At 48.4% G+C, this 24,024-nt stretch overlaps 1 protein-coding gene and 1 long non-coding RNA gene across 2 annotated transcripts in view, besides 2 other annotated features; both read left to right on the top strand.

Moving 5' to 3' along the window:
• Positions 125 to 23,961, top strand: ZNF8 (zinc finger protein 8). The gene is made up of 4 exons (NM_021089.3): positions 125 to 317; positions 6,887 to 7,013; positions 7,280 to 7,375; positions 15,268 to 23,961. The coding sequence occupies exons 1-4, from the start codon at positions 252 to 254 to the stop codon at positions 16,704 to 16,706; spliced, it is 1,728 nt and encodes a 575-aa protein (NP_066575.2). The 5' UTR covers positions 125 to 251; the 3' UTR covers positions 16,707 to 23,961.
• ZNF8-ERVK3-1 (ZNF8-ERVK3-1 readthrough (NMD candidate)) overlaps positions 136 to 24,024 on the top strand; it is a 36,692-nt gene continuing 12,803 nt past the window's right edge. The window contains exons 1-4 of the long non-coding RNA NR_144447.1: positions 136 to 1,779; positions 6,887 to 7,013; positions 7,280 to 7,375; positions 15,268 to 16,751. This is a non-coding gene — a long non-coding RNA (ZNF8-ERVK3-1 readthrough (NMD candidate)). The remainder of the gene's footprint in view (positions 1,780 to 6,886; positions 7,014 to 7,279; positions 7,376 to 15,267; positions 16,752 to 24,024) is intronic.
• Positions 201 to 250: an enhancer, noted in NCBI's record as "active region_15181". NCBI's record gives its function as "activates an Ori minimal core promoter by ATAC-STARR-seq in GM12878 lymphoblastoid cells {active_cell/tissue: GM12878}" and the evidence as "EXISTENCE:reporter gene assay evidence [ECO:0000049][PMID:35858748]".
• Positions 671 to 720: an enhancer, noted in NCBI's record as "active region_15182". NCBI's record gives its function as "activates an Ori minimal core promoter by ATAC-STARR-seq in GM12878 lymphoblastoid cells {active_cell/tissue: GM12878}" and the evidence as "EXISTENCE:reporter gene assay evidence [ECO:0000049][PMID:35858748]".

Consider the following 24,024-nt stretch of genomic DNA (forward strand, 5'->3'; position numbering starts at 1 on the left):
AGAGGCCAGCGGGTGGGGGCTCCCATTGGCCATCGGCCATAATGCTTCCATTGGTCGAAGGCCAGACCAGCGGAGACTCCCATTGGCCGAGGGCTGTGGTTCGCCGCACGGCCTACTGGGAGTTGTAGTCGCCGCGTCGCCGGTGCGGCCGCCATTGTCCGGCGTTCGGCGAGTCGGGTGGTCCCTTTGGCTGGAGTGCCTCTCTGGTCTGGGGATCACCTCAGGCGCTGTCCTTCACTGGGCGATCCAGCATGGACCCCGAGGACGAAGGGGTAGCGGGAGTGATGTCTGTGGGGCCGCCGGCGGCCCGGCTTCAGGTAACAATAACAACAATAACGACGGCGGCGGGCTCCGGGCAAGCGTCTCCCGCGCAGACTGACCCTTTCACCTCGCGGCGCGATGAGAGCGGCACCGCTGTTAATGCCCTTGACACGTGGGGAAACTCAGACGCGGGTCGGGGCGTGGTGACCGTCCTGGCTGGTCAGAGAGGGGGCCGGGATTCCAACCAGGCGCCTGGCCCCCGAATGCGCATGCTCCACGCGGCTCTGTCCTCCCCAGGGCTGGGGTCGGTCATTCCCGAGAGAATCGAGCAGGCCCATCTCCTGCGTTCTGCTCCGCCCCGCCGACACCCTTGCCCATTCCAGGAAGGTCTGTCCTCGTGTTGACTGATAACAGTAATTGTAGCGTTGGCCGGGTGCCCAGATGGCAAGAATCATCGAATAGAGATGCTTTAACGCGTGGAGTCAGCGGACACCCACCGGGACCCCAGCACCGCGGAGCCCCTGCCCTGGGGCTTGGGCACAACCTCTTGGGGGCAATGATGGGTCACCACGCACTGAGTGTGATGAGAGTGACCACCAGGGTCGTCCCCTGCGAGACTGTGGGAGAACTGCAGTGCAGGGCGGTCAGTGTTTGCAGGGCCATCTGGCCATCAGAGCTCCACTTTCTAGACAAAGTGGTTGCGGCCTGTGTTCTCCATAAAGCTGCCTCGCGTGGCAGGAAACAACAATAATTATCCTTCCTCAAGCTCTGCAACTTTGAAATTATACTTTTTTTTATTTTTTGTCGTTGGTTTGTTCATGGGGATTTGCATTATTTCAGATTTGGTACACAAAGTGAGACTTGATAATCTTAGGTTGCAGGTTTTCAGATGTGTGTTGCTCCAAATTTGCATGAAATGCTACCACGTTTTATTTTGTTCTTGCTGTGGATGGGGGACAAGGAATGAGTCGTAAGAAAGGCTTGAGAGAAAGTGTATTAGTTACCTGTTGCTGTGTAACTCAAAACTTCGTGACCTGGAACAACAATAAATATCTCACGAGTTCTGACAGGAGTAATGGAATGTCCTAGCTGGTGGTTCTGGTTCAGGCCCATGAAGTTACAGTGAAGATGTCAGCATAGCTGTTGTCACCTGAGACCTGAGTCTGGAGGATCCACCTCCAGGATGGCTCACTCACATGTCTGTTGATAGGAGACCTCAGTTGTTCTCCATGTAGGCCTCTCTTTGGAACTGCTAGGGATCCTTGCAACATGGCATCTGGCTTCCCACAGAACAAGTGATCCAGGAGAGGGCAAGGTAGAAACTGTAACACCTTCCATGACCTGGATTCAGAATTCACACTCTTGTCACTTCCACGGTGTCTTACTGGTTACAAAGTCAACCTTGTTGAGTGTTGGAGGGGACCACACCAGGGCTGGAGGTCATTGGCAGAGGTGGTGGGGGAGCATCTTGGAGACTGTCCATCACAGGAGACAAGGACCAGAATGGAGAGCTTCAAGGTCCAGTGTTTTATCTGGTTATCTGTGTCTGCTGTAACAATTCACTACAAATTTTGTGGCTTAAAACATTTGTTCTTAGGTTCTGGAGGTCAGAAGTCTGAAATCGGTTTTCTGGTCTGGAATCAAGGTATGAGCAGAGCTACCCTCCCTACCAAGGTTCTAGGGTAGAATGTTTCCTCGTCTTTTCCAGCTGTGAGAGGTACAGACCTTCTATTCCTTGCCTCATGGCCCTTTGCCTGTCTTCAAAGCCTGCATTGTAGCATGTTGCTTCAGTGATCATATTGCCTTATGTCTTCTATAGTCATAGCTCCCTTTGTCTACCTCTTATAAAGACACTTGTGATTGCATTTAGGGCCCACCTGGATAATCCAGGATAATTTTTCTGTTTGAAAATCCTAATCACATCTGCACAGTTCCTTTTACCATATATAGTAATATTCACAGGTTCTAGGAACTAGGACCTGGATATCCTTGGAGGCCATTATATATCTCAGTCTACCATAGCCAGGCTGAGAGGAGCCATCCAGTATTCAGTGATGAGAAGGAGCCATTCACGTGTTTTAAGCAGGACTGGCATAGGGTTGAAAAAATCCACTTATGCATTAGGGGCTGGTGGGAAGGGAGATACTGGCAGCTCAACTAAGGCAGTGGGAAAAAGAGAGGAGTGGTTAGGCCCAGTGACCAGGTGTTGGCTGATGCTGGGGTGAAAAGAATATGTAAAGGAGAAACATCAGAGCACAGCCCCACCCCTTCAGGCTCCAGAAGTGCAAGACAAGAGGGAAGGCTGCAGGGATCTGATGTAGGGCAGAAAGAACATCATGAGACAACAAGGAGTGGGCTTCTGCTAGAATTCCAAGAAGGAAGCCAAGAGGAGGCATGAAGGACTTGTATGATGCCACTGAGAATTCTCATGGCTTGGACAGACCAGTACTCAGTGGACGTGGTGTCTAGGCTGTCACCAGTGACTCTTGCAGAATGGGTGATGATGGGAGGTGGGGGCAGGAGGCACGGGAAGCACAAATCAAAATTGGTGGGCATTCTGAGTGGAGGAAAGCGAAGACACAGAGACAGGAGCAGAGACCTCAGTTCCCAACCAAAGGCATCTTTCTGTATGTTTCCTATTAGAGCCACCTGCTACCTGTACTAAAATTTCTTTCTTATTTTTTAATCTACTCATGTTTTTCTTAAAAGGAAATGTCCTTTTAAAATTGAAGTATTTGGGGCCTGGTGCAGTGGCTCATGCCTGTAATCCCAGCACTTTGAGAGGCCACAGCAGATGGATCACTTCAGGTTAGGAGTTCAAGACCAGCCTGGCCAACGTGGTGCAACCCCATCTCTACTAAAAGTACAAAAATTAGCTGGGTTTGGTGGCACATGCCTGTAATCCCAGTTATTTGGGAAGCTGAGGTGGGAGAATCACATGAACCAGGGAGATGGAGGTCGCAGTGAACCGAGATTGCACCACTGCACTGCAGCCTGGTCAACAGAGTGAGGCCCTGTCTCAAAATAAAAAATAAAAAAATTGAAGTATTTAGTATATGTGGTTTTGTTTTGTTTTTTAACCTAGCAGCAACACTGGTGGTGTATAGTTTTGATTTTTCATTTCCCTGATGACTAATGATGTTGAACATCTTTTCATGTACTTATTTGCCATTTGTGTATCTTCTTTTATATATTCTTCAAAGAAATAACTATACAGATTCTTTGCCTATTTTAACTGGGTTGTCTTTTTATTACTGAGTTGTATGTGTTCATTACATATTCTAGATACAAGTCTCTTATCAGATATGTGATTCCCAATTATTATCTCCCATTCTGTGAGTTGTCTTTTCACTTTCTTGCTAATGTCCTTTGAACTACAAAAGTTTTTGTTTTGATGAAGTCCAATTGATTACATTTAGTTGCTTATCCTTTTGGTTTCATATCTAAGAATCCCTTGCCAAATCCAAGGTTACAAAGATTTATCTCTCTGTTTTCCTCTAAGAGTTTTATAGTTTTAGCTCTTACTTTTAATTTAATTTAATTTTTTTTTTTTTGAGATGGAGTCTCACTGTGTCGCCCAGGCTGGAGTGCAATGGCATGATCTCGGCTCACTGCAACCTCTGCCTCCTGGGTTCAAGCAATTCTCCTGCCTCAGCCTCCCAAGTAGCTGGGACTACAGGAGCACGCTGCCACGCCCGGCTAATTTTTGATATTTTAGTAGAGATGGTGTTTCACCATGTTGCCCAGGCTAGTCACGAACTCCTGAGCTCAGGCAATCCACTCGTCTCAGCCTCCCAAAGTGCTGGGATTACAGGCGTGAGCCACTGCGCCCAGCCTCTTACATTTATGGCTTTGTTTCTATTTTATTTTATTTCTTTTTTTTCTCTTCTTTTTTTTTTCTTTGAGACAGGATGTCACTCTGGTTGCTTAGGCTGGAGTGCGGTGGCATGATCTTGGCTTGCTGCAACCTCCACTTTCCAGACTCAAGCACTCCTCCTACATCAGCCTCCCAAGTAGCTGGGACTACAGGCAGCCTGGCTAATTTTTTTCAAATTTTTTTTGTAGAGGCAGGGTTTTACCATGTTGCCCAGGCCAGTCTTGATCTCCTGGACTCGAGTGATCTGCCTGCCTCAGCCTCACAAAGTGCTGGGATTACAAGCATGAGCCACTCTGCCCAGCCAGCCTAATTTGTTTTGAGTTAATTTTTATATATGATATAAGATAGAAGTCTGTGTTAGTTTGAATGTGTCTCCCAAATTTCATGTGTTGATAGTATTTGAAGGTGGCGACTTTTGGGAGAAATTTAGGATTAGATAAGGTTATCAGGATTGGACTCCCTTGATGGGACTAGTGGCTTTAGAAGGAGAGAGAGACCTGAGCTGGCACACTCTTGCCCTCTCGCCATGTGATGCCCTCCACCATCTTATGTCATAACAAGAAGGCCCTCACCAGATGCCAGTACCATGATATTAGACTTCCCAGCCTTCAGAACTGTAAGAAATAAACTCTTTTTTTTTTTTTTTTTTGAGTCGGAGTCTCACTCTGTTGCCCAGGCTGGAGTGCAGTGGCGCAATCTTGACTCACTGCAAGCTCTGCCTCCCGGGTTCACACCATTCTCCTGCCTCAGCCTCCCATGTAGCTGGAACTACAGACGCCCACCACCACGCTCGGCTAATTTTTTGTATTTTTAGTAGAGACAGGGTTTCATCGTGTTAGCCAGGATGGTCTCGATCTCCTGACCTCGTGATCTGCCCGCCTCGGCCTCCCAAAGTGCTGGGATTACAGGCATGAGCCACCGCTCCCAGCCCACAAATAAACTGTCTTCATCAAAGTTATTGAAAGAGAGAGAGAGAAAAAAAGCAACTTTCTTTATAAATTACTTCGTCCTTAGGAGGACAAGGCGAGAGGATCACTTGAGGTCAGGAGTTCGACACCAGCCTGGCCAACATGGAGAAACCCTGTCTCTACTAAAAAATACAAAAATTAGCTGGGTGTGGTGGCGTGCACCTGTAGTCCTAGCTACTCAGGAGGCTGAGCCAGGAGAATCAACTGAATCCGGGAGGCAGAGGTTGCAGTGAGCCAAGATTGTGCCACTGCACTCCAGCCTGATTGACAGAGTGAGACTCCCATCTCGAGAAAAAAAAAATAATAAATTATTCAGTCTGTGATATTCTGTTACAGCAACAGAAAATATGCTGGGACAGGGACTATCTTTACTCTTTTCCATGTGGCTATCCAGATGTCCTGTAGGAAGTGTTTGTAAACCACTTAATCATTATACAGCCCCCAAGGGGTGATGCTTTGTTGACATGGAAACTGGGAAGCAAAGATGCTTCTTGGGGACGAAGTGACTGAGCCAAGACTCTGATCCAGAAATATCTGGCTTTCAAGCATGGCTGCAGAAGGGCTTTGTTTATGGGACACATTTTAGGTAATGTTGCATCAACTTATAAAAATCAGAATTTTTCACGTAAAGGCCAGGCGCGGCGGCTCCCGCCTGTAATCCCAGCACTTTGGGAGGCCGAGGCGGGTGGATCACTTGAGGCTAGGGGTTCGAGACCAACCTGGCCAACATGGTAAAACCCCATCTCTACTAAAAATACAAAAATTAGCCGGGCGTGGTGGTGCGCTCCTGTAGTCCCAGCTACTACGGAGGCTGGGGCAGGAGAATCACTTGAACCTGGGAGGCAGAGGTTGCAGTAAGTGGAGGTGGCACCACTGCACTCCAGCCTGGGTGACAGAGCAAGACTCTACCTCAAAAAGAAAAATAATTTTTCACATAAAAATCTGACCTAATTTTCAGCTTCTCTTCAGAGATGAGCAGTTCTGACAAAGGGACCTGTATTTTCCCGTAATCAGTGAGTTCTGAGTCCCTGCTGCTCCTTCAGACAGGGTCCATGCTCCCCATCACCTCCAGTCCCACCACTCATAGGTAAGTGTCCTTGTGGGCTCTTAAACTGGCCCACTTCTGTCATGTGAGCCTGCCTTGCCCTGAAAGCAGGCGAATTTCTGACCCCAGCCCTGTGTGCTTCTCTTTTCAGGAAGGATGGTGAACCTGTTTTTTTGTTTTTTTTTTTTGAGATGGAGTCTCACTCTGTCGCCTCAGCTGGAGTGCAGTGGTGTCTTGGCTCACTGCAACCTCCACCTCCTGGGCTCAAGCGATTCTGCTGCCTCAGCTTCCCAAGTAGCTGGGATTACAGGCATGTGGCCCAGCCAATTTCACTTTGTATCTAAGTATTAGTGAGTGTATTAGTTAGCTGCTGTGTAACACTGTCCTAAAACAGTATCTGTTTTACTTAAAACAGTAACTGTTTCTTTAGCTCACAAACCTGCAAATAAGTGGTTTAGGCCAGTCTCTGCTGGTACCCTCGTCTGTCTTGTTAGATGTAGGTCAGCTCTGCCTGGCGTTGTTGATCTTGGTGAGTCCTCTCACATGTCCTCACTGTACAACCCACACCTATGTGTAGTGGCCTAATAGGTGCCCAGTGAGACCTGACTCCCATCATTCATAACGTGCAGTCTCTCGTGACACAGGCCTGCCTGTTTTCTCCTTTTCCATTCTTCCTCTGCCAGAAAGCACTGATGGAGATAGTCCAGCTGATTGAGAATGTGTGTGATGTTTCAGGAACCAGTGACCTTCCGGGATGTGGCTGTGGACTTTACCCAGGAGGAATGGGGGCAGCTGGACCCTACCCAGAGGATCCTCTACCGTGACGTGATGCTGGAGACCTTTGGTCACCTGCTCTCCATAGGTAAGCCCTGCTTCGCAAGGTGTGATAGCTGATTCTCTCTGGGTTATAAGTCATGGGGCCTCTGGTGTGAGGACCTGACCTTGGGTCCTCACTCCCTATGGGGAGTGCATGAAGAGGGAGGTCTGCCCTTTTCCATCACCATGCAGAGCTTCACCATGTTGTGAGGTGCCCACGTGTCCTCACAGTCGGGAGTCTGGTCTGGAGCCTGGGCTTGTTGTTTCTCTCCTGAGCAGCCCCTCACCTCCTGTGTTTTTCCCCATTTCCAGGTCCTGAGCTTCCGAAGCCTGAAGTCATCTCCCAGCTGGAGCAAGGGACCGAGCTATGGGTGGCTGAGAGAGGAACCACCCAGGGCTGCCATCCAGGTGAGAACCCACTATGTGGGAGCAGCTAATGGGAGCAGCCTAGCAGGTCACTGGAGATGCACTTCATGGAAAGGGTGGTGGTTGGTGGTCCTGAAGACCACCCCATTCACTAGGAGTATACAGGACTCAGCATAGAGTCATGCTGACAGCTCTCAGTATAATGAGACCAACAAAGGGGAAAGGCGCGTGGGGATAAGTTCAGAGGAAGCCAGGCATGAGCCTCCAGAGTCCCCTCACTGTGGAGTCATTCAGGATGTGCCAGGCTCCCCCAGCACTCAGGTGTGACACCTCATGAGACATGAGCTCTACCAGGGAATCTTGTTAAGAGACTCAGTGCTAGGAGTTTTGACTGAGGCTGCCACATAGACACTCTCTGCCTAGCACAGACCAAGGTTCCAGACTACCAGGAGAAAGCCAGTGTTTGGAATAAACCACATAGTGTGTGCAGTGTGGGTGTAGTAAACCACTCTCATCAGTTAGGGTTGTGGGAACCATCCCCAAATCCAAATTCTCAGTTGCAGCCAAAGGCTAACCTTGTGAATAGGCTTCTCCTAAGAATGCTGGTTTCAGGCCTGCCCTGTTAAATCTTTTCTGCACAGTGCTCCATAGCCTTCTCACCTGTGCTCCCCATCTTCTAAGCTCAGAGGTCATCACCTGTGCTCCAGTGCTGAGAATCCCACCCCTTCCTCCCTCTCTGCTTCATCTTCCCTTATAGGTTCCAGGTCATTCCCTCTCTCACCATCCTTCTCAGCATGTCCTTTCTGTGGCATCATTTCTAATATGTGAACCTGCCCTTCATCTTCTCCATTTCATTCTTGCATGTCCAGATTCTTTGTGTTTTGTTTTGTTTTTAAGACAGGGTCTCACTCTATCGCCTAGGCTGGAGTGCAGTGGCGTAATCACGGTTCACTGCAGCCTTGACCTCCCTAGTTCAAATGATCCTCCCACCTCACCCTCCCGAGTAGCTGGGATTACAGACATGCACCACCACGCCCTGGTAATTTTTGTATTTTTAGTAGAGATGGGATTTTGCCATCTTGCCAGGCTGGGCTCGAACTCCTGGGCTCAAGCAATCCACCTACTTTGGCCTCCCAAAGTGCTGGGACTACAGGCGTGAGCCACCATGCCCAGCTTTTTTTTTTTTTTTTTTGAGACCGTCTCTGTTGCATAAGCTGGAGTGGCAGCAGTGTGATCATGGCTCAGTGCAGCCTCAGCCTTCCTGTCACAAATGATCCTCCTGCTTCAGCCTCTTGAGTAGCTGGGACTACAGGTGTGTACCCCCACACCTGGCTAATTTTCTTTTTAAATTTTTTTGTAGAGACACAGTTGCACTGTGTTGCCCAGGCTGGTCTCAAACTCCTGGGCTCAAGCAATCCTCCTGTCTTGGCCTCTCAAAGTGCTGGGATTACAGGTATCAGCCACTGCACCTGGCCTTTTTTTTTTTTTTTTTTTTTTTGAGACAGTCTCACTCCGTTGCACAGGCTGGAGTACAGTTGCATTATCTTAGTCTCCTAGGCTCAAGTGTTCCACCTACCTCAGTCTCCCTAGTAGCTGTTACTACAGGTGTGTACCACCATGTCCAGCTGATTTTTTTGATTTTTTTCTTTTTCTTTTTTAAAAATTATTTTACTTTTTTTCTTTTTTTTTCTTTCTTTCTTCCTTTTTTTTTTTTTTTTAGAGATGGGGTCTCGCCATCTTGTCCAGGCTGCAGGCTGCTCAAACTAACTCCTGGGCTCAAGCAATCCTGCCTCAACCTCCTAAGTGCTGGGATTATAGGCGTAAGCCACTATGCCTGACTTTTTGTTTGTTTGTGTGTCCTTTTTTTTTTTTTTTTAATAGAGATGAGATCTTTCTACACTGCCCAGGCTGGTCTCAAACTCCTGAGCTCAAACAGTCCTCCTGCCTCAGCCACTGAAAGTGCTGGGATTACAGGTGTGAGCCACTGTACCTGGTCACATGTCTAGATTCTGTAAACTTGTTCCCCACACCCTTCTTTATTCTCTTATGAGGAAGAATTGTGTTTAGCTATAAATACCCTAAAACCAGGTTGGAGCAGCTCAAAATAAAGAAGCATTTTTCTTGTAAAACAGGAGCCCTGAGTCTGCTGGTACTGTCTTGGCATCTCAGAGGTGCCAGGGCTGATTGTTCTGTGATTTTCCCAGGCTGTCCTTGGGATTACAGTGCAGCTGCAGCAGCTCCAGCCATCACAGTTGTGCTCCATGCAGGAAGGAGGGGAAGAGGTAGGAAGAATTCTGCCAGCCACATCTGTCCCCTTTTGGCAGAACTCTAGATGTCACCTGCTGGGGTCTCTTTAGCCAGAACTAGGTCACCTCCTCTTGCACTGACCCTAGTTGCTAGAGAGGCTGGAAAGCTAGGGGTGTCTAGATTGTCATAATTGGCTTGGGCGAGTCATGGTCCCCTTGCTGTGGCTTGTGTGTTGGTACCCTGACCACATTCTAGAGTAAATAGCATCTGGCCATGGGATGTACAACCAGCAATGCCTGCAGATTAGCCTCCCACCCAAATACTTCTGATGCCACCCAGGGCTTTCTGATTCTGCAGAAAAACACATATGCCCCCATGATAGCGTATGACCTATCAACTGGGAGTCGGGTGAATCTGCTGCAGACCCTGTTTTCCTGCCCCTTTCATCGGTTGTCACTGCTGTTACTTCAGACATGTATGTCGGAAGCAAATTCTCATCACCCTGGACATATGCCTGTCACTCACAAGTCTTATGCCATAACCAAATCCAGGATCTAAAACGTGTGCCCATAAATACTAAGCAAAATGTTGTGCTTGCATGGATTAGGAGTATGGGGTCAAAATCATGATGGACAGTTTCAATAACTTAATACCTAGACAGTTATAAATACTCCAGAAGCAGAAGGTTTTCAAGGCTTTATGTTAAGACAGAAACATATTTTCCATGTAATGCTTTGTATTAGTTTCCTGTTGCTCCTGTAACAAAGTACCACAATCTAGGTGGCTTGAAAAAGCACCGATTTGGCTGGACGCAGTGGCTCACCCCTATCATTCCAGCACTTTGGGAGGCCAGGGCAGACGGATCACTTGAGTCCAGGAGTTCGAGACTAGCCTGGCCAACATGGCACAACACCGTTTCTACTAAAAATACAAAAATTATCCAGGTGTGGTGGTGCATGCCTGTAATCCCAGCTACTCAGGAGGCTGAGGCACAAGAATCTCTTAAACCCAGGAGGTGGAGGTTGCAGTGAGCTGAGATCATGCCACTGCACTCCAGCCTGGGCGACAGAGCAAAACTCTGTCTCAAAGAAAAAAAAAAAAAAAAAGGACAGATTTATTTTCTTATAGTTGTGGAGGTCAGAAGTTCAAAATGGTTCATCAGGGCTAGTTCCTCTGACGGCGCCCAGAGAGAATGCATTTCTGTCTTTCTCAGCAGCTGGAGGCTGCCCAGACTCCTTGGTTCATAGACCCTTCCTCCATCTTCAGAGTGCTTCACTCTGACCCATTTCCATTATCACAACCGCTTCCCTGACTCAGACCCTTCTGCTTCCCTCCTATATGGACTCTTTGGTCAGATTTAGGGCCCCAGGATAATCTCCCATTTCAAGATTCTTTTTTTTTTTTTGAGACAGAGTCTCGCTCTGTCACAAGGCTGGAGTGCAGTGGTGTGATCTCGGCTCACTGCAGCCTCCGCCTTCCCAGGTTCAAGCGATCCTCCTGCCTCCACCTCCCAAGTAGCTGAGACTACAGGCCGTGCCACCATGCCCAGCTAATTTTTTGTATTTTTAGTAGAGATGGGATTTCACCATGTTGGCCAGGATGGTCTCAATCTCTTGACCTTGTGATCCGCCCGCCTCAGCCTCCCAAAGTGCTGGGATTAAAGGCGTGAGCCACCGCGCCTGGCCCATTTCAAGATTCTTTTTTTTTTTTTTTTTTTTTTTGAGACGGAGTCTCGCTCTCTTCCCCAGACTGGACTGCAGTGGCGCAATCTCGGCTCATTGCAAGCTCCGCCTCCCGGGTTCACGCCATTCTGCCTTAGCCTCCCGAGTAGCTGGGACTACAGGTGCCCGCCACTGCACCCGGCTAATTTTTTTTTTGTATTTTTAGTAGAGACGGGGTTTCACCGTGTTGGCCAGGATGGTCTCTATCTCCTGACCTCGTGATCCGCCCGCCTTGGCCTCCCAAAGTGCTGGGATTACAGACGTGAGCCACCGCGCCCGGCCATCAAGATTCTTAATCACAGCTACAATATCCCTTTTGCCACATAAGGTTCCAGGGATTGGGATGGGGACATCTTTGAGGGGCCGTTATTCAGCATACCACATGATTAAAATAGAGAGTAAATTTTTTTTTTATTATTTTTAAGGAAAAGAAGCCTAGTCAATAGAAGAAGACCGCGTCTCTACAAAAAAATTTAAAAATTACCTGGCATGGTGGTGTGTTCTTGTAGTCCTAGCTACTTAGGAGGCTGAGCGGGGAGGATTGCTTAAGCCCAGGAGTTCAAGGCTACAGTGAGCTACAATTTGCACCACTGCACTCCAGGCTGAGCAACAGAGCATTAAAAAATAAAGGAAAAGAGGCCAGGCATGGTGGCTTACGCCTGTAATCCCAGAATTTTGGGAGGCCGAGGCGGGTGGTTCGCTTGAGTCCAAGAGTTCAAGACCAGCCTGGGCAACCTGGCAAAACCACATCTCTACAAAAAATGCAAAAAAATTAGCTGGGTGTGGTGGTGCATGCCTGTGGTCTCAGCTGTTCAGGAGGCTGAGCCCAGGAGGTTGCAGTGAGCTGAGATCATGCCACTGCACTTCAGTCTGGGTGACAGAGTAAGACCTTATTTCAAATATAAAATAAAATAATGGTGAAGAATCCCTGTCCAGGCAGATCCCACTCCCAGTGCACTCACAGGGGTTTGTGGGCTCAGGGATGGCTGGGCGATCTCAAGCCCCTCCTTGGCCCCTGTCACTCGTCTGGCATCATTCCTTACTGGTTCCCTCTTGCGGTTGCTCAGCTTCACCTGCTGCAGGTCACCTCCTGGCTGACTACAGTCCCAGCTCTTCTCCCATTTCCTCTCTTCATCAACTGCTCACCCTCTCTCTCGGAGACTCCATGGCTTCCCATGTGCCAGGATCAGTGAGTTGTTCTGGGCAGCCAGGAGTCAGGCTGGAGTTGGAGCCTGTCTCAACCTCAGTGCTCTTTGCTGTTCCTGGCCAGGCCAGTTCACTAGTGTTCTCAAGTCCCCCTCCTCCGGATGTTCTTCCGCACTCTCCCAGCAGGCAGCGTTAGTCTTGGCTGGGGTCACAGTGTTGTCTTTAGTCTCTGTGTTTTCGTCCGTGTTGTCTCTCAGGCAGTCTCCCAGCTCACGAGCCTGTTCCATGGATGTTCCTGAGGACCTGCCATGTGCTGCTGTTTGTGCTGTGGATGCAGCAAAGAATGACAGGAAAGGCTGAGCCCTCACTCAGCATCTGGGAGATGGAAGTCTTGAGAGATGGATGCCAGTGCCAGGCAGTGATGAGGCCGTAAAGGAAATGCACCTGGGGAGGGCAAGATGGGGTGCTCATGCCCCGGGACTGGCAGGGAGGCCTCTCTGAGAAAGTGACTCAAACTGGGGCACAGGGAGCAAGGTGGGCAGATGTCTGGGGATGAGGGTTCTTGGCAGAGGGAGCAGCAGGTGCAAAGGGCCCCAGGAAGGAGTATGGGGGATGCATTAGAGGGATGTGAGGAGCCATGTGGAGCAGAGTGGGCGTGGGGCAAGAGTCAGGAGGTGAGACGAGCCAGGGCATGGTGGAGAAGGGCACAGGGTCGTGTCCATCCTCAGAAGTGACTGCAGAGTGAATGGAGGAGTGACCAGGGCTGGCTTGCAGTGGGGAGGAGGGTGGGTCTGTTTGGTTTTGCATAATAGCTTTATCAAGATAAAATTGACATACCATAAGTTCACCTATTAAAATGTACCACTCAGCGGTTTTGAGTATATTCTCAGATTGTGTGCAGCTATCTTTACTATCTAACTCCAGAACATTTCATCACCATCTTAGTCAGCTTGGGGTACCGTGACAAAATACCACCGCCTGGGTGTCTTGTACAACAGACATTTATTTCTCACGGTTCTGTAGGCTGGAATTCTAAGAGCACAGTGCCAGCTGATTCGGGCCCTGGTAAGGGCCCCTTCCTCAATTGCAGAAGGCCGCCTTCTCTCTGTGCCCTTATATGGCAGAGAGAGGAAGCAAGCCCTGTGGTATTTCTTCTTATAAGATCACTAATCTCATTCTTAAAGGCCCCACCCTCGTGACCTAATCACCTCCCAAAGGCCTCATCTCCAAATACCCTCACAATGGGGATTAGGGTTTCAACATAGGAATTTTGCTATCGACATTCAGTCCATAGCAGTCACTCTCCGTCTTTCCCATCCCCTGCCAACCAGTAACCTACTTTCTCTCTCTATGGATTTGCCTGTTCTAGATATTCCATACGAATGGAATCTTACAATTTGTGACCTTTGTATCTGGCTTCTTTCACTCAGCAGAATGTTTTCCGGCTTATCCATGTTGTAGCGTATGTCAGTACTTTGTTCTTTTTTGTGGCTGCATAATATCCCGTCGTATGGATAGACCATATTTTGTTTATGCATTTGTTGAGGGGCATTTGGGTTGTTTCTACTTTTGGCTATTAATTAATAGTGCCACTATGAACATTAGTGTATAAATTTTTGTGTGAAGTGACTTATATTTTAGAATAAACCTCTGGGTGCTATGTAGAGAGTCAGTTTTTTTTTTTTTTTGAGACAGAGTCTCTGCTTGGTCGCCGAGGCGGGAGTGCAGTGGTGTGATTTTGGCTCACTGCAACCTTCGCCTCCCAGGTTCAAGCGATTCTCATGCCTTAGGCTCCTGAGTGGCTGGGACTACAGGTGTATAACACCACACCCGAATAATTTTTGTATTTTTAGTAGAGACAGGGTTGGCCAGGCTGGTCTTGAACTCCTGACCTCAAGTGATCCTCCAGCCTCGGCTTCCCAAAGTGCTAGGATTACAGGCATGAGCCACCGGGCCTAGCCAGAGAGTCATATTTGGGGGCCAGAGGTGACAGAGCAGGAAGCCTGGCACCTGGCCAGCCTCAGCTCCTCCATTATCTCTCCCGTTGTCAAGCTCTCATTCATTCATTCCCTCGATACGTTCCTTCAGCATTCACTGAGAGATATTTTTGAGCTTCTACTACTTGTCATTTCTAGGCACTGGCTGTGAACATTCTAGTGCGGTGAGGTGTACCCAGAATGAATGAACACATGACCTGTATTTTGGTCAGGACAAGAGCAGATGAGGGGGCTTGAAGAGGGCTTGGGGAAAGCGGGAAGCCTGGCTTATAACAGAGTCCCTGTCCTAATCCCCAGAACTGGTTATCTTGGATACTGGGTGAGCAAGAGGGTCAGAATCAGACAAGGAGATGTGACAGCAGAAGCAGAGGTGAGTGAGAGAGATCTGAAGATGCTGTGCTCAGCTCTAGAGGTGAAGGAAAGGGCCAGGAATGCAGGCAGCCTCTAGGAACGGGAAGATGCAAGGATTTTCCCCAGAACCTCCCGAAGAGAAACCAGCCCTGCCAACACCTTGATTTTAGGACTTCTGTGTTCCAGAACTATAAGATAATAAGTGTGTTTTAAGTTACAGCAGCAAACAGGGAACTCATATACCTTGACTTCATTGCCAGTGCATGGCCCACAGCAGGTGCTCAATAAATGTTTGTTGAATGAGTGGAGCCGTGTCTGAGGGCACTTGATGTTAAAATAAGAGGAGAATCAGGGGACTTGCCAGGGCAGCTGGTTAGGACCCCATTTCAATATCAGGCCTATGGTGTTGGAGGCCTGTCCCCCTTCCGTTTTTTTCTCCCAACAGCTCAGAGATCTTTGGGTTTTCTTTCAGCCTGGGAGCCTCGATCTGAAAGCCAAGCATCACGCAAGGAAGAGGGCCTGCCTGAAGAGGAGCCATCCCATGTCACGGGAAGGGAAGGATTCCCGACAGATGCTCCTTATCCCACCACGTTAGGGAAAGACAGGGAGTGTCAGAGCCAGAGTCTGGCACTCAAGGAGCAGAATAACTTGAAGCAGTTGGAATTTGGCCTCAAGGAAGCACCAGTTCAAGATCAAGGCTACAAAACTCTCAGACTCAGGGAAAACTGCGTCCTGAGTTCAAGCCCAAATCCATTCCCAGAGATCTCTAGAGGGGAGTATTTGTATACTTACGACTCACAGATTACAGACTCAGAACATAACTCCAGCTTAGTCAGTCAGCAGACAGGCTCCCCAGGAAAACAGCCCGGTGAAAACAGTGACTGTCACAGAGATTCCAGTCAGGCCATTCCAATTACGGAACTCACAAAAAGCCAGGTGCAGGACAAACCCTACAAATGTACTGACTGTGGGAAGTCGTTTAACCATAACGCACACCTCACCGTGCACAAGAGGATTCATACGGGAGAAAGACCTTATATGTGCAAGGAGTGTGGGAAAGCCTTCAGCCAGAACTCCTCCCTCGTCCAGCATGAGCGCATCCACACTGGAGACAAGCCCTACAAGTGTGCCGAATGTGGGAAGTCTTTCTGCCATAGTACACACCTTACCGTCCATCGGAGGATTCACACTGGGGAGAAGCCCTATGAGTGTCAGGACTGTGGGAGGGCCTTCAACCAGAACTCCTCCCTGGGGCGGCACAAGAGGACACACACTGGGGAGAAGCCATACACCTGCAGTGTGTGTGGGAAATCCTTCTCTCGGACCACTTGCCTTTTCCTGCACCTGAGAACTCACACCGAGGAGAGGCCCTACGAGTGTAACCACTGCGGGAAGGGCTTCAGGCACAGCTCATCCCTGGCCCAGCACCAGCGGAAGCACGCGGGGGAGAAGCCCTTTGAGTGCCGCCAGAGGCTGATCTTTGAGCAGACGCCAGCTCTCACAAAGCATGAATGGACAGAAGCCCTGGGCTGTGACCCACCTTTGAGTCAAGATGAGAGGACTCACCGAAGCGACAGACCCTTCAAATGTAATCAGTGTGGGAAGTGTTTCATTCAGAGCTCTCACCTCATCCGGCACCAGATAACTCACACCAGAGAGGAGCAGCCCCATGGGCGAAGCCGGCGGCGTGAACAATCCTCGAGCAGGAACTCACACCTGGTTCAGCATCAACACCCGAACTCCAGAAAGAGCTCTGCAGGCGGAGCAAAGGCAGGGCAGCCGGAAAGCAGAGCCCTGGCTTTGTTTGACATCCAAAAAATCATGCAAGAGAAAAACCCTGTGCACGTTATTGGGGTGGAAGAGCCTTCTGTGGGTGCTTCCATGTTATTTGACATCAGAGAATCCACATAGGAGAGAAACTTTGCTGATGACTTTTAACCACAAGTAAAAAATGTGGTAAGTCCACATAGTGTACTCATGGAAGGAGGGGCTGGGGGTAGAAATGTCATGGGTGACTTCTGACTTTCTAAGGAAATGATGCTTCCCAAGCACCCGAGGTTGGTTGGTCCCAAATCTATCAAACTCAGTGCCCTCTTTAGCGACATATTTTGTGACATTCCTTCCATTACACCACAGTGAGTTCACAGGTAATATAACCTACCCACCTGTGTAATGTCAAAAAAAATCAATATGCGGCCCCATTTTGTAAAGGATCATTAAAATGAAAGTAATTTATGGTAGAGTAAATTGTAGAGTAACGTGTACTGACTTGGTGCAGTATTTCTCCTTGTCACTGTGGGCCCAATTTTGCCAGGAGACCTAGGGCAATAGCCTGTTGCTTGTGGACTGGTAGAGGGTATGATGTTGACCATGGCAATACTGTGAGGGGCCTTCCCATGTGGAACGTGACCTTCCAAAGTAGTGACTAACTCTTGGAAAAGTTTTTAACAACATAATATGCTATTGCATTTCTGGGAAATTCTGGGTAAATTCCAAGCATGCAGCAATTAGTTTGTGCTTATGTGTGAAGTCCAGTTAGGTTCTCAGTTCATACCCTGAAAACTGCTTATTCCACATCTGTTGATGTGGTCCACTGGGGGCAGTTCTGTTCCTCACCATCTTGGCAGCATGCATGGCTCCTGCCCACATTTCAACCACACCCCCAACCCAATTACGTGACCAGCCCCCACGAAATTTCACAGCATTCCGTGCAGGGGAGTGTCACAGCTCCTCTTGAAAAACATCTGGTGTTGCTATGAGCCAGAAGTTCTTTTTTTTGTTTTTTGTCTGAGATGGAGTCTCGCTCCGTCACCCAGGCTGGAGTGCAATGGCGCAGTCTGCTCACCACAACCTCCGCCTCCCAGGTTAAAGCAATTCTCCTGCCTTAGTCCCCCGAGTAGCTGGGATTACACGCACCTGCCACCACGCCCAGCTAATTTTTGTATTTTTGGTAGAAATGGGGTGTTGGCCAGGCTGATCTCAAACTCCTGACCTCGTGATCCACCCACCTCGGCCTCCCAAAGTGCTGGGTTTACAGGCATGAGCCACTATGCCCAGCTGAGCCAGAGGTTCTTAACTGGTGGTGCTTTTGCCTCCAGGGCACATTTGGTGACATCTAGGGACATTTTTGGTTGCTGTGCCTGGAGGAAGGGTGCCGCCGTCATGTAGTGGGTAGAGGCCAGGGACGCTGCTCAACATCCTTTAGTGCCCGGGACAGCTCCTCAACAAAGGATTCTCTAGCTCAAATGTCAATAGTGCCAAGGTGGAGAAGCCACCTGGGTATAAACCCAGCCCAGAAATGTAGCTGACATTTTTAAAACTTGCAGCCAGCTGTGGTGGCTCACGCTTGTGATCCCAGCACTGTGGGAGGCTGAGGAGGGCGGATCCTTTGAGGTCAGGAGTTTGAGACTAGCCTGGGCCCATGGCGAAACCCCATCTCTACTAAAAATACACAAATTAGCCAAGTGTGGTGACATGCGCCTGTAATTCTAGCTACCTGGGGGAGGCTGAGGCACGAGAATCGCTTGAACCTGGGAGGCAGAGGTTTCAGTGAACCGAGATTGCACCACTGCACTCCAGCCTGGGTGACAGAGCAAGACTCTGTCTCAGAAAAAAAAAAGAAAAGAAAAAAAACCTTCAAATTGATTAATCAGGGCTGGACTAGACTAGAAATCATATAAGCTTGATTTTAACAGATGGCATCATTAGCTAGTTTATACATGATGTACTTTTTAGTACATCCTTTACGGTTTTGCAGCATTCATAATTGATGTGAAATAAGGAAGATAATCCTTTTTTTTTTTTTGAGACAGAGTCTCACTCTTTTGCCCAGGCTGGAGTCAGTGTTGTAATCACTGCTCACTTGGCAGCCTCGACCTCCTGGGCTCAAGTGATCCTCCCACCCCAGCCTCCCAAGTAGCTGGGACCACAGGCATGTGCCACCATTCCTGATTTTTTTTATTTTTTGCAGAGACAGGGTCTCACTGTGTTGCCTAGGCTGGTCTCGAACCTTGGCGTCCCAAAGTGTTGAGATTATAGGCATGAGCCACTGTGCCCAGCCACTTATTTTTCTGAGTAACCTTTAAGGATGTATTGTGGACATTTTCAAACATGAGTCATATATTTTTGCTGGTACTCCCATCTACCTCCCCACCATTCTCCTTCCCTGGATATATATATAACCATGTTTGTCCACTGGGACAAAACCATTTTCACAATCATACTAAGCTGTCATTTCACATTTTTGCTGTGCACTGATAGTGTGAAAGCAATGGCAGGTAAAACTGCTGAGCCTGAGTTCAAAGCAGGGCAGTAGCCCTGAGGTTGGTTGTTCATATTCTTCTCCACTGGGAAATGCAGTAAAGAAAAAGAAAAGCTAATTTCACTTAATTTCTTTTCTTTTCTTTTTTTTTTTTTTCTTTTGAGACGGAGTCTCGCTCTGTCGCCCAGGCTGGAGTGCAATGGCGTGATCTCGGCTCACTGCAACCTCCACCTCCACGGTTCACGCCATTCTCCTGCCTCAGCCTCCCGAGTAGCTGGGACTACAGGTGTGCGCCATCTTGCCCAGCTACTTTTTTGTATTTTTAGTAGAGATGGGGTTTCACCATGTTAGACAGGATGGTGTCGATCTTCTGACCTCATAATCCGCCCACCTCGGCCTCCCAAAGTGCTGGGATTACAGGCATGAGCCACTGCGCCTGGCCCTCTTTTTCTTTTTGAGATGGAGTATTGCTCTGTCGCCCAGGCTGGAGTGCAGTGGCACAATCTTGGCTCACTGCAACCTCCGCCTCCCGGGTTCAAGCAGTTCTCATGCTTCAGCCCTCTAAGTAGCTGGGATGACAGGTGTGCGCTACCACACCCGGCTAATTTTTGTATTTTTAGTAGAGATGGGGTTTTACCATGTTGGCCAGGCTGGTCTCAAACTCATGACCTCAAGTAATCTGCCCGCCTCAGTCTCCCAAAATGCTGGCATTACAGGCATGAGCCACCGTGCCTGGCCTACTTTCACTGAATTTCTGTGATGAAACGGGAAAAATTAATTTTGTTAAATCTCAAGTAGAACTATATTGTCATTATCACATCTAAACAGATATCATCAAATACCTAGTGTTCAGATGTTCTGGGTTGCCTCATAAATTTTGTTTTCTATTTGTTTCATAGTAATCATAATCTAAACAAGATCCACACAGTGCATTTGGTTGGAATTTTTCTTTTTTCTTTTTCTTTTTTTTTTTTGTGATGGAGACTTGCTCTGTCACGTGGTTCACTGCAACCTCCCAGGTTCAAGCAATTCTCCTGCCTCAGCCGCCCCTGTAGCTGGGACTGCAGGCATGCACCACCACACTCAGCAGATTTCTTAATTGTTTGTAGAGATGGGGTTTTACTACATTGCCTAGGCCAGTTTCAAACTGGGCTCAAGCGATCCTCCCACCTTGGCCATCCAAAGTGCTAGGATTACAGGTGTGAGCCAATGCACCCTGCCAAACAGCAATTTTTTTTTTTTTTGAGACAGAGTCTCGCTGTGTCACCCAGGCTGGAGTGCAGTGGTGCGATCTCGGCTCACTGCAAGCTCCGCCTCCCAGGTTCATGCCATTCTCCTGCCTCAGCCTCCCGAGTAGCTGGGACTACAGGCGCCCGCCACCACGCCCGGCAAATTTTTTGCGTTTTTAGTAGAGACGGGGTTTCACCCTGTTAGCCAGGATGGTCTCAATCTCCTGACCTCGTGATCCACCTGCCTCGGCCTCCCAAAGTGCTGGGGTTACAGGAGTGAGCCACCGCGCCTGGCCCCAAAACAGCAATTTGAATAACCATGTTGGAATGGTTGAGCATTGGAACGCATTAGCATCAGAACTTCCCGTGTCAGGCCAGGCGCGGTGGCTCACGCCTGTAATCCCAGCACTTTCGGAGGCCGAGATGGGCAGATCACGAGGTCAGGAGATCGAGACCAGCCTGGCTAACACGGTGAAACCCTGTCTCTACTAAAAATACAAAAAATTAGCCTGGCGTGGTGGCGGGCGCCTGTAGTCCCAGCTACTCGGGAGGCTGAGGCGGGAGAATGGCGTGAACCTGGGAGGCAGAGCTTGCAGTGAGCTGAGATAGTGCCTCTGCACTCCAGCCTGGGTGACAGAGCTAGACTCCATCTCGAAAAAAATAAAAGAACTTCCCGTGTCCGTTTTTGCTTTTTGGATGCTGGGAGTGTCACAACTCAGCTATCCAATCAAGGCAGAGCTGGCCTCCAGGATGCCAGAGCCAGAGCTTTGTGGTTCATCTCTAGAGGTTCAACAGGACCCTGTGGATGGCCCAAGTTCGTTTCTCTGCACTTACCTCTTCGGGGTTGTCCTCAAAACGTTGCCGTGTCAGCTCTCACTTTTCACAGCAACTCTGGCCTCCTACCTTGGACTGCGCCACTTCTGTCTCCTTAGATAACCTCCATTCGCATAGCTAAATGCTGCACCCTCCGACACTGCCACAATAATAGTTCTGTGAGTTAGTACCATTTTATAGATAGGCAAAATTTGGCACAGGACAAAAGTTAGTGGTAACTAGAACAAAAGTAACCAGCCCAAGCTAGGAAGTGGTGGAGTTAGAATTTGATGTCAGCACCCAGCTGACCATGGCTTAAACAGATGAGGCTTTGTTCAAAGGCTGTCTTTTCAGTGGCTCAGCTGTGTCACAGTCGATGTTTTCTGCAATCTCTCAACCTTTCCATTGTGGTCATGAGGAGACTCCTATGGCTCCAGCCATTGCATCCACAGTGAAGACTGAAAGAAGGGGGAATGGGCAGGCCAACACTTACCGCTGATGGTGTTTAAAGGAAAAACATTCCCAGAAGCCTGCAGCACATGCCCCCCTTAGTCTCACTGGCCACAGATGGGTCAGGGGGCCACCCCTAATAACAACGGGGCTTAGAAACCTCGTATTTACCTTTCTAACCTCTGTGGTGGAGACAGGTGGGAGAGAAAAGTCCTGGGAAGTGGATGATGGAGGCAGCTAGCCGTAGCTGCTGCTTTTCTCTTCAAGCTCTTGGGAGAATTGCTTGTGCTCCCTATTCCCTTGGTGGATGATGGAGGCAGCTAGCCGTATCTGCTGCTTTTCTCCTTCAAGCTCTTGGGAGAATCGCTTGTGCTCCCTATTCCCTTGGTGGCAGCTCACACCTCAGACCTGCTGTCCGCCCCCACTGCTTCACAGAACCCACTGCAACCACTGTCCAAGGTACTACCTCTGGTGTCGTCTCTCTTCATCCCCAGGACTGTGAAGCCTGCTAACCTCTTTGCAGAGCTCCATCTCCTTGCATTGTGGGGTTCCTTCTAACTCTTCAGGGACTTCTCAACCTCCCGTCACCCTTCCTAAATGCTGGGGTCCTAGAGTCCACCTTGTGCTCCACGCCCTCCCCAGGTGTCATCTACATCCCTAGCTTTGTGCTGCTCACCACCAAATCAGTCTGGTGCTTCTGAGATTTGGGCTTCAGACCCAAACAACTGCTGTGTGCTACTGGGCAACTCCCCGAGGTGTGCCGAAAGCTCCCCAAACCCAGCCTACCCCAAACAAAACTCATTTTCCACCCAGACTAGTCTCTGCTTCCCTGATCCCTTTCCTGGAGGCTGTTTCCACTTGCCATCCCATCATGGAAGCCAGAAAACCAGTCTTCTTGACCTCTCCCCTTCCCCACTCCATGGAGTTAGAGGTCCTGTTGATTTTGCCATGTAAACATTTCGGATTTGCTTACTTCATCCCCACTGCCACCAACAGTGCAGGATGGCCCTAAGAGGAGAAGTAATGTGCTACCAAGTGGCCCAGCCAGAGTGTGAACCAAACAGTCTGGTACCAAAACCCTATTCTGGATCATTCCTCCTTTCTGCTCCACCAGCAGTTTGGGGCACAGGCTTGGGAATCCAGACAGGAAAGCTCCTCCCCTCTGAAGCAGTGGGACCAAAAATGACAGCATGGTTCTAGACAGCTCTGGAAGTCAGGCCTGTGATTGCCTCATTCCCTCCACCTTGGCCCCCAAAATGGCCAGTCCTGAAGGGGTCACAGTTGATACTTCTCTGAGGGGGCATGGGGTTGGCTGAGGTTATAGCAGCCCCACAGGGTGGTAAGCTGGGATGAAGCAATCAACTGGAACTCAACAAGCCTTGAGTTCTCAAAGGGGGTGTGGGAAGGTTCTTATACATCTTCTATGAAGGGCAGTTTATCAGTCACTAAATTACAAATACATAAACCCTTTGTCTCACCAAACCTGCTGGGAATGAATCCTACATATATATTTATATGTGTGCAGGCTACATGGTTTTCATTATGCTATTGATTTTAAAAGTAAAAATTTGGAAAGAACCTCCATGTCCACCATGGGGAACTGGCTAAGTCATTTATGGTGGAATGGTGATCATAAAAATTCATTAAAAATGAAGACTCTATATACAGCTTGAATATTCCTTATCGAAATGCTTGGGACCAGAAGTGTTTCAGATCTTTGCATATTTTCTGTTTCTCATTTCAGTTCACATTTTCTAAGCATGATATTCCTACTGATTTCCTTGTAGATATTTTGAAACAGATAAGAAACTCCTCCGTGGAAATTACTGTTAACTAGGGAAAAGACATGTTTTTTTCTGTTCATAAAAGTAATGCGAGTTCTTTGTAGCAAAACTTGGAAAATGCATAAAAGTAAAAAAAAAATGAAAACTTGTGTAAAATTCCTCATACTTTAGCCATCCATAGATGGTCCTTACCATTAGGATTTTACTAATTTTCCTTGCAGCTTTTTCTTAAAATATACACGTGTGTCTACACATACATAGTGTACACTAAATTTTACATACACACAGAGGAATATATATGTGTATAGTTATCTTGTGTTTAGAAATTTGGAATCCCTTCTAGTTGTCTTGTAACATGTGCTTACTCTATTTTGAGGATTTTCTCTATGAATTTCATGTAGCTCTTTAAATTAACTTTCAGGAGGATTGTAACAATGTGCTCTCCACCCAGTATTTTACCAGCCTTGAGTTTTCTCAAAGGGGGCATTGGAGGGGTTCTTATACATTTACAGTGGGAATGTGAATTGATACAACTTCTGTGGAGGGCAGTTTATCAGCCACTATCTAAATTACACATACATAAACCCTTTGTCTAAGCAAACTTGCTGGGAATAAATCCTACACATATATTTGTATGTGTGCAGACTGTTTGTACATGGTTTTCATTATGCTATTGATTTTAAAAGTCAGAA

The sequence above is a fragment of the Homo sapiens genome, chromosome 19, assembly GCF_000001405.40.
Source record: "Homo sapiens chromosome 19, GRCh38.p14 Primary Assembly".
NCBI lineage: Eukaryota > Metazoa > Chordata > Mammalia > Primates > Hominidae > Homo > Homo sapiens.

Excerpts from the sequence above, each read along its gene's own strand:
- ZNF8 (NM_021089.3), top strand. The coding sequence starts at position 252 with ATGGACCCCGAGGACGAAGGGGTAGCGGGAGTGATGTCTGTGGGGCCG. Across the intron at positions 7,014-7,279 it reads TGGTCACCTGCTCTCCATAG|GTCCTGAGCTTCCGAAGCCT; the intron begins GTAAGCCCTGCT and ends CCCCATTTCCAG. Across the intron at positions 7,376-15,267 it reads CACCCAGGGCTGCCATCCAG|CCTGGGAGCCTCGATCTGAA; the intron begins GTGAGAACCCAC and ends GTTTTCTTTCAG.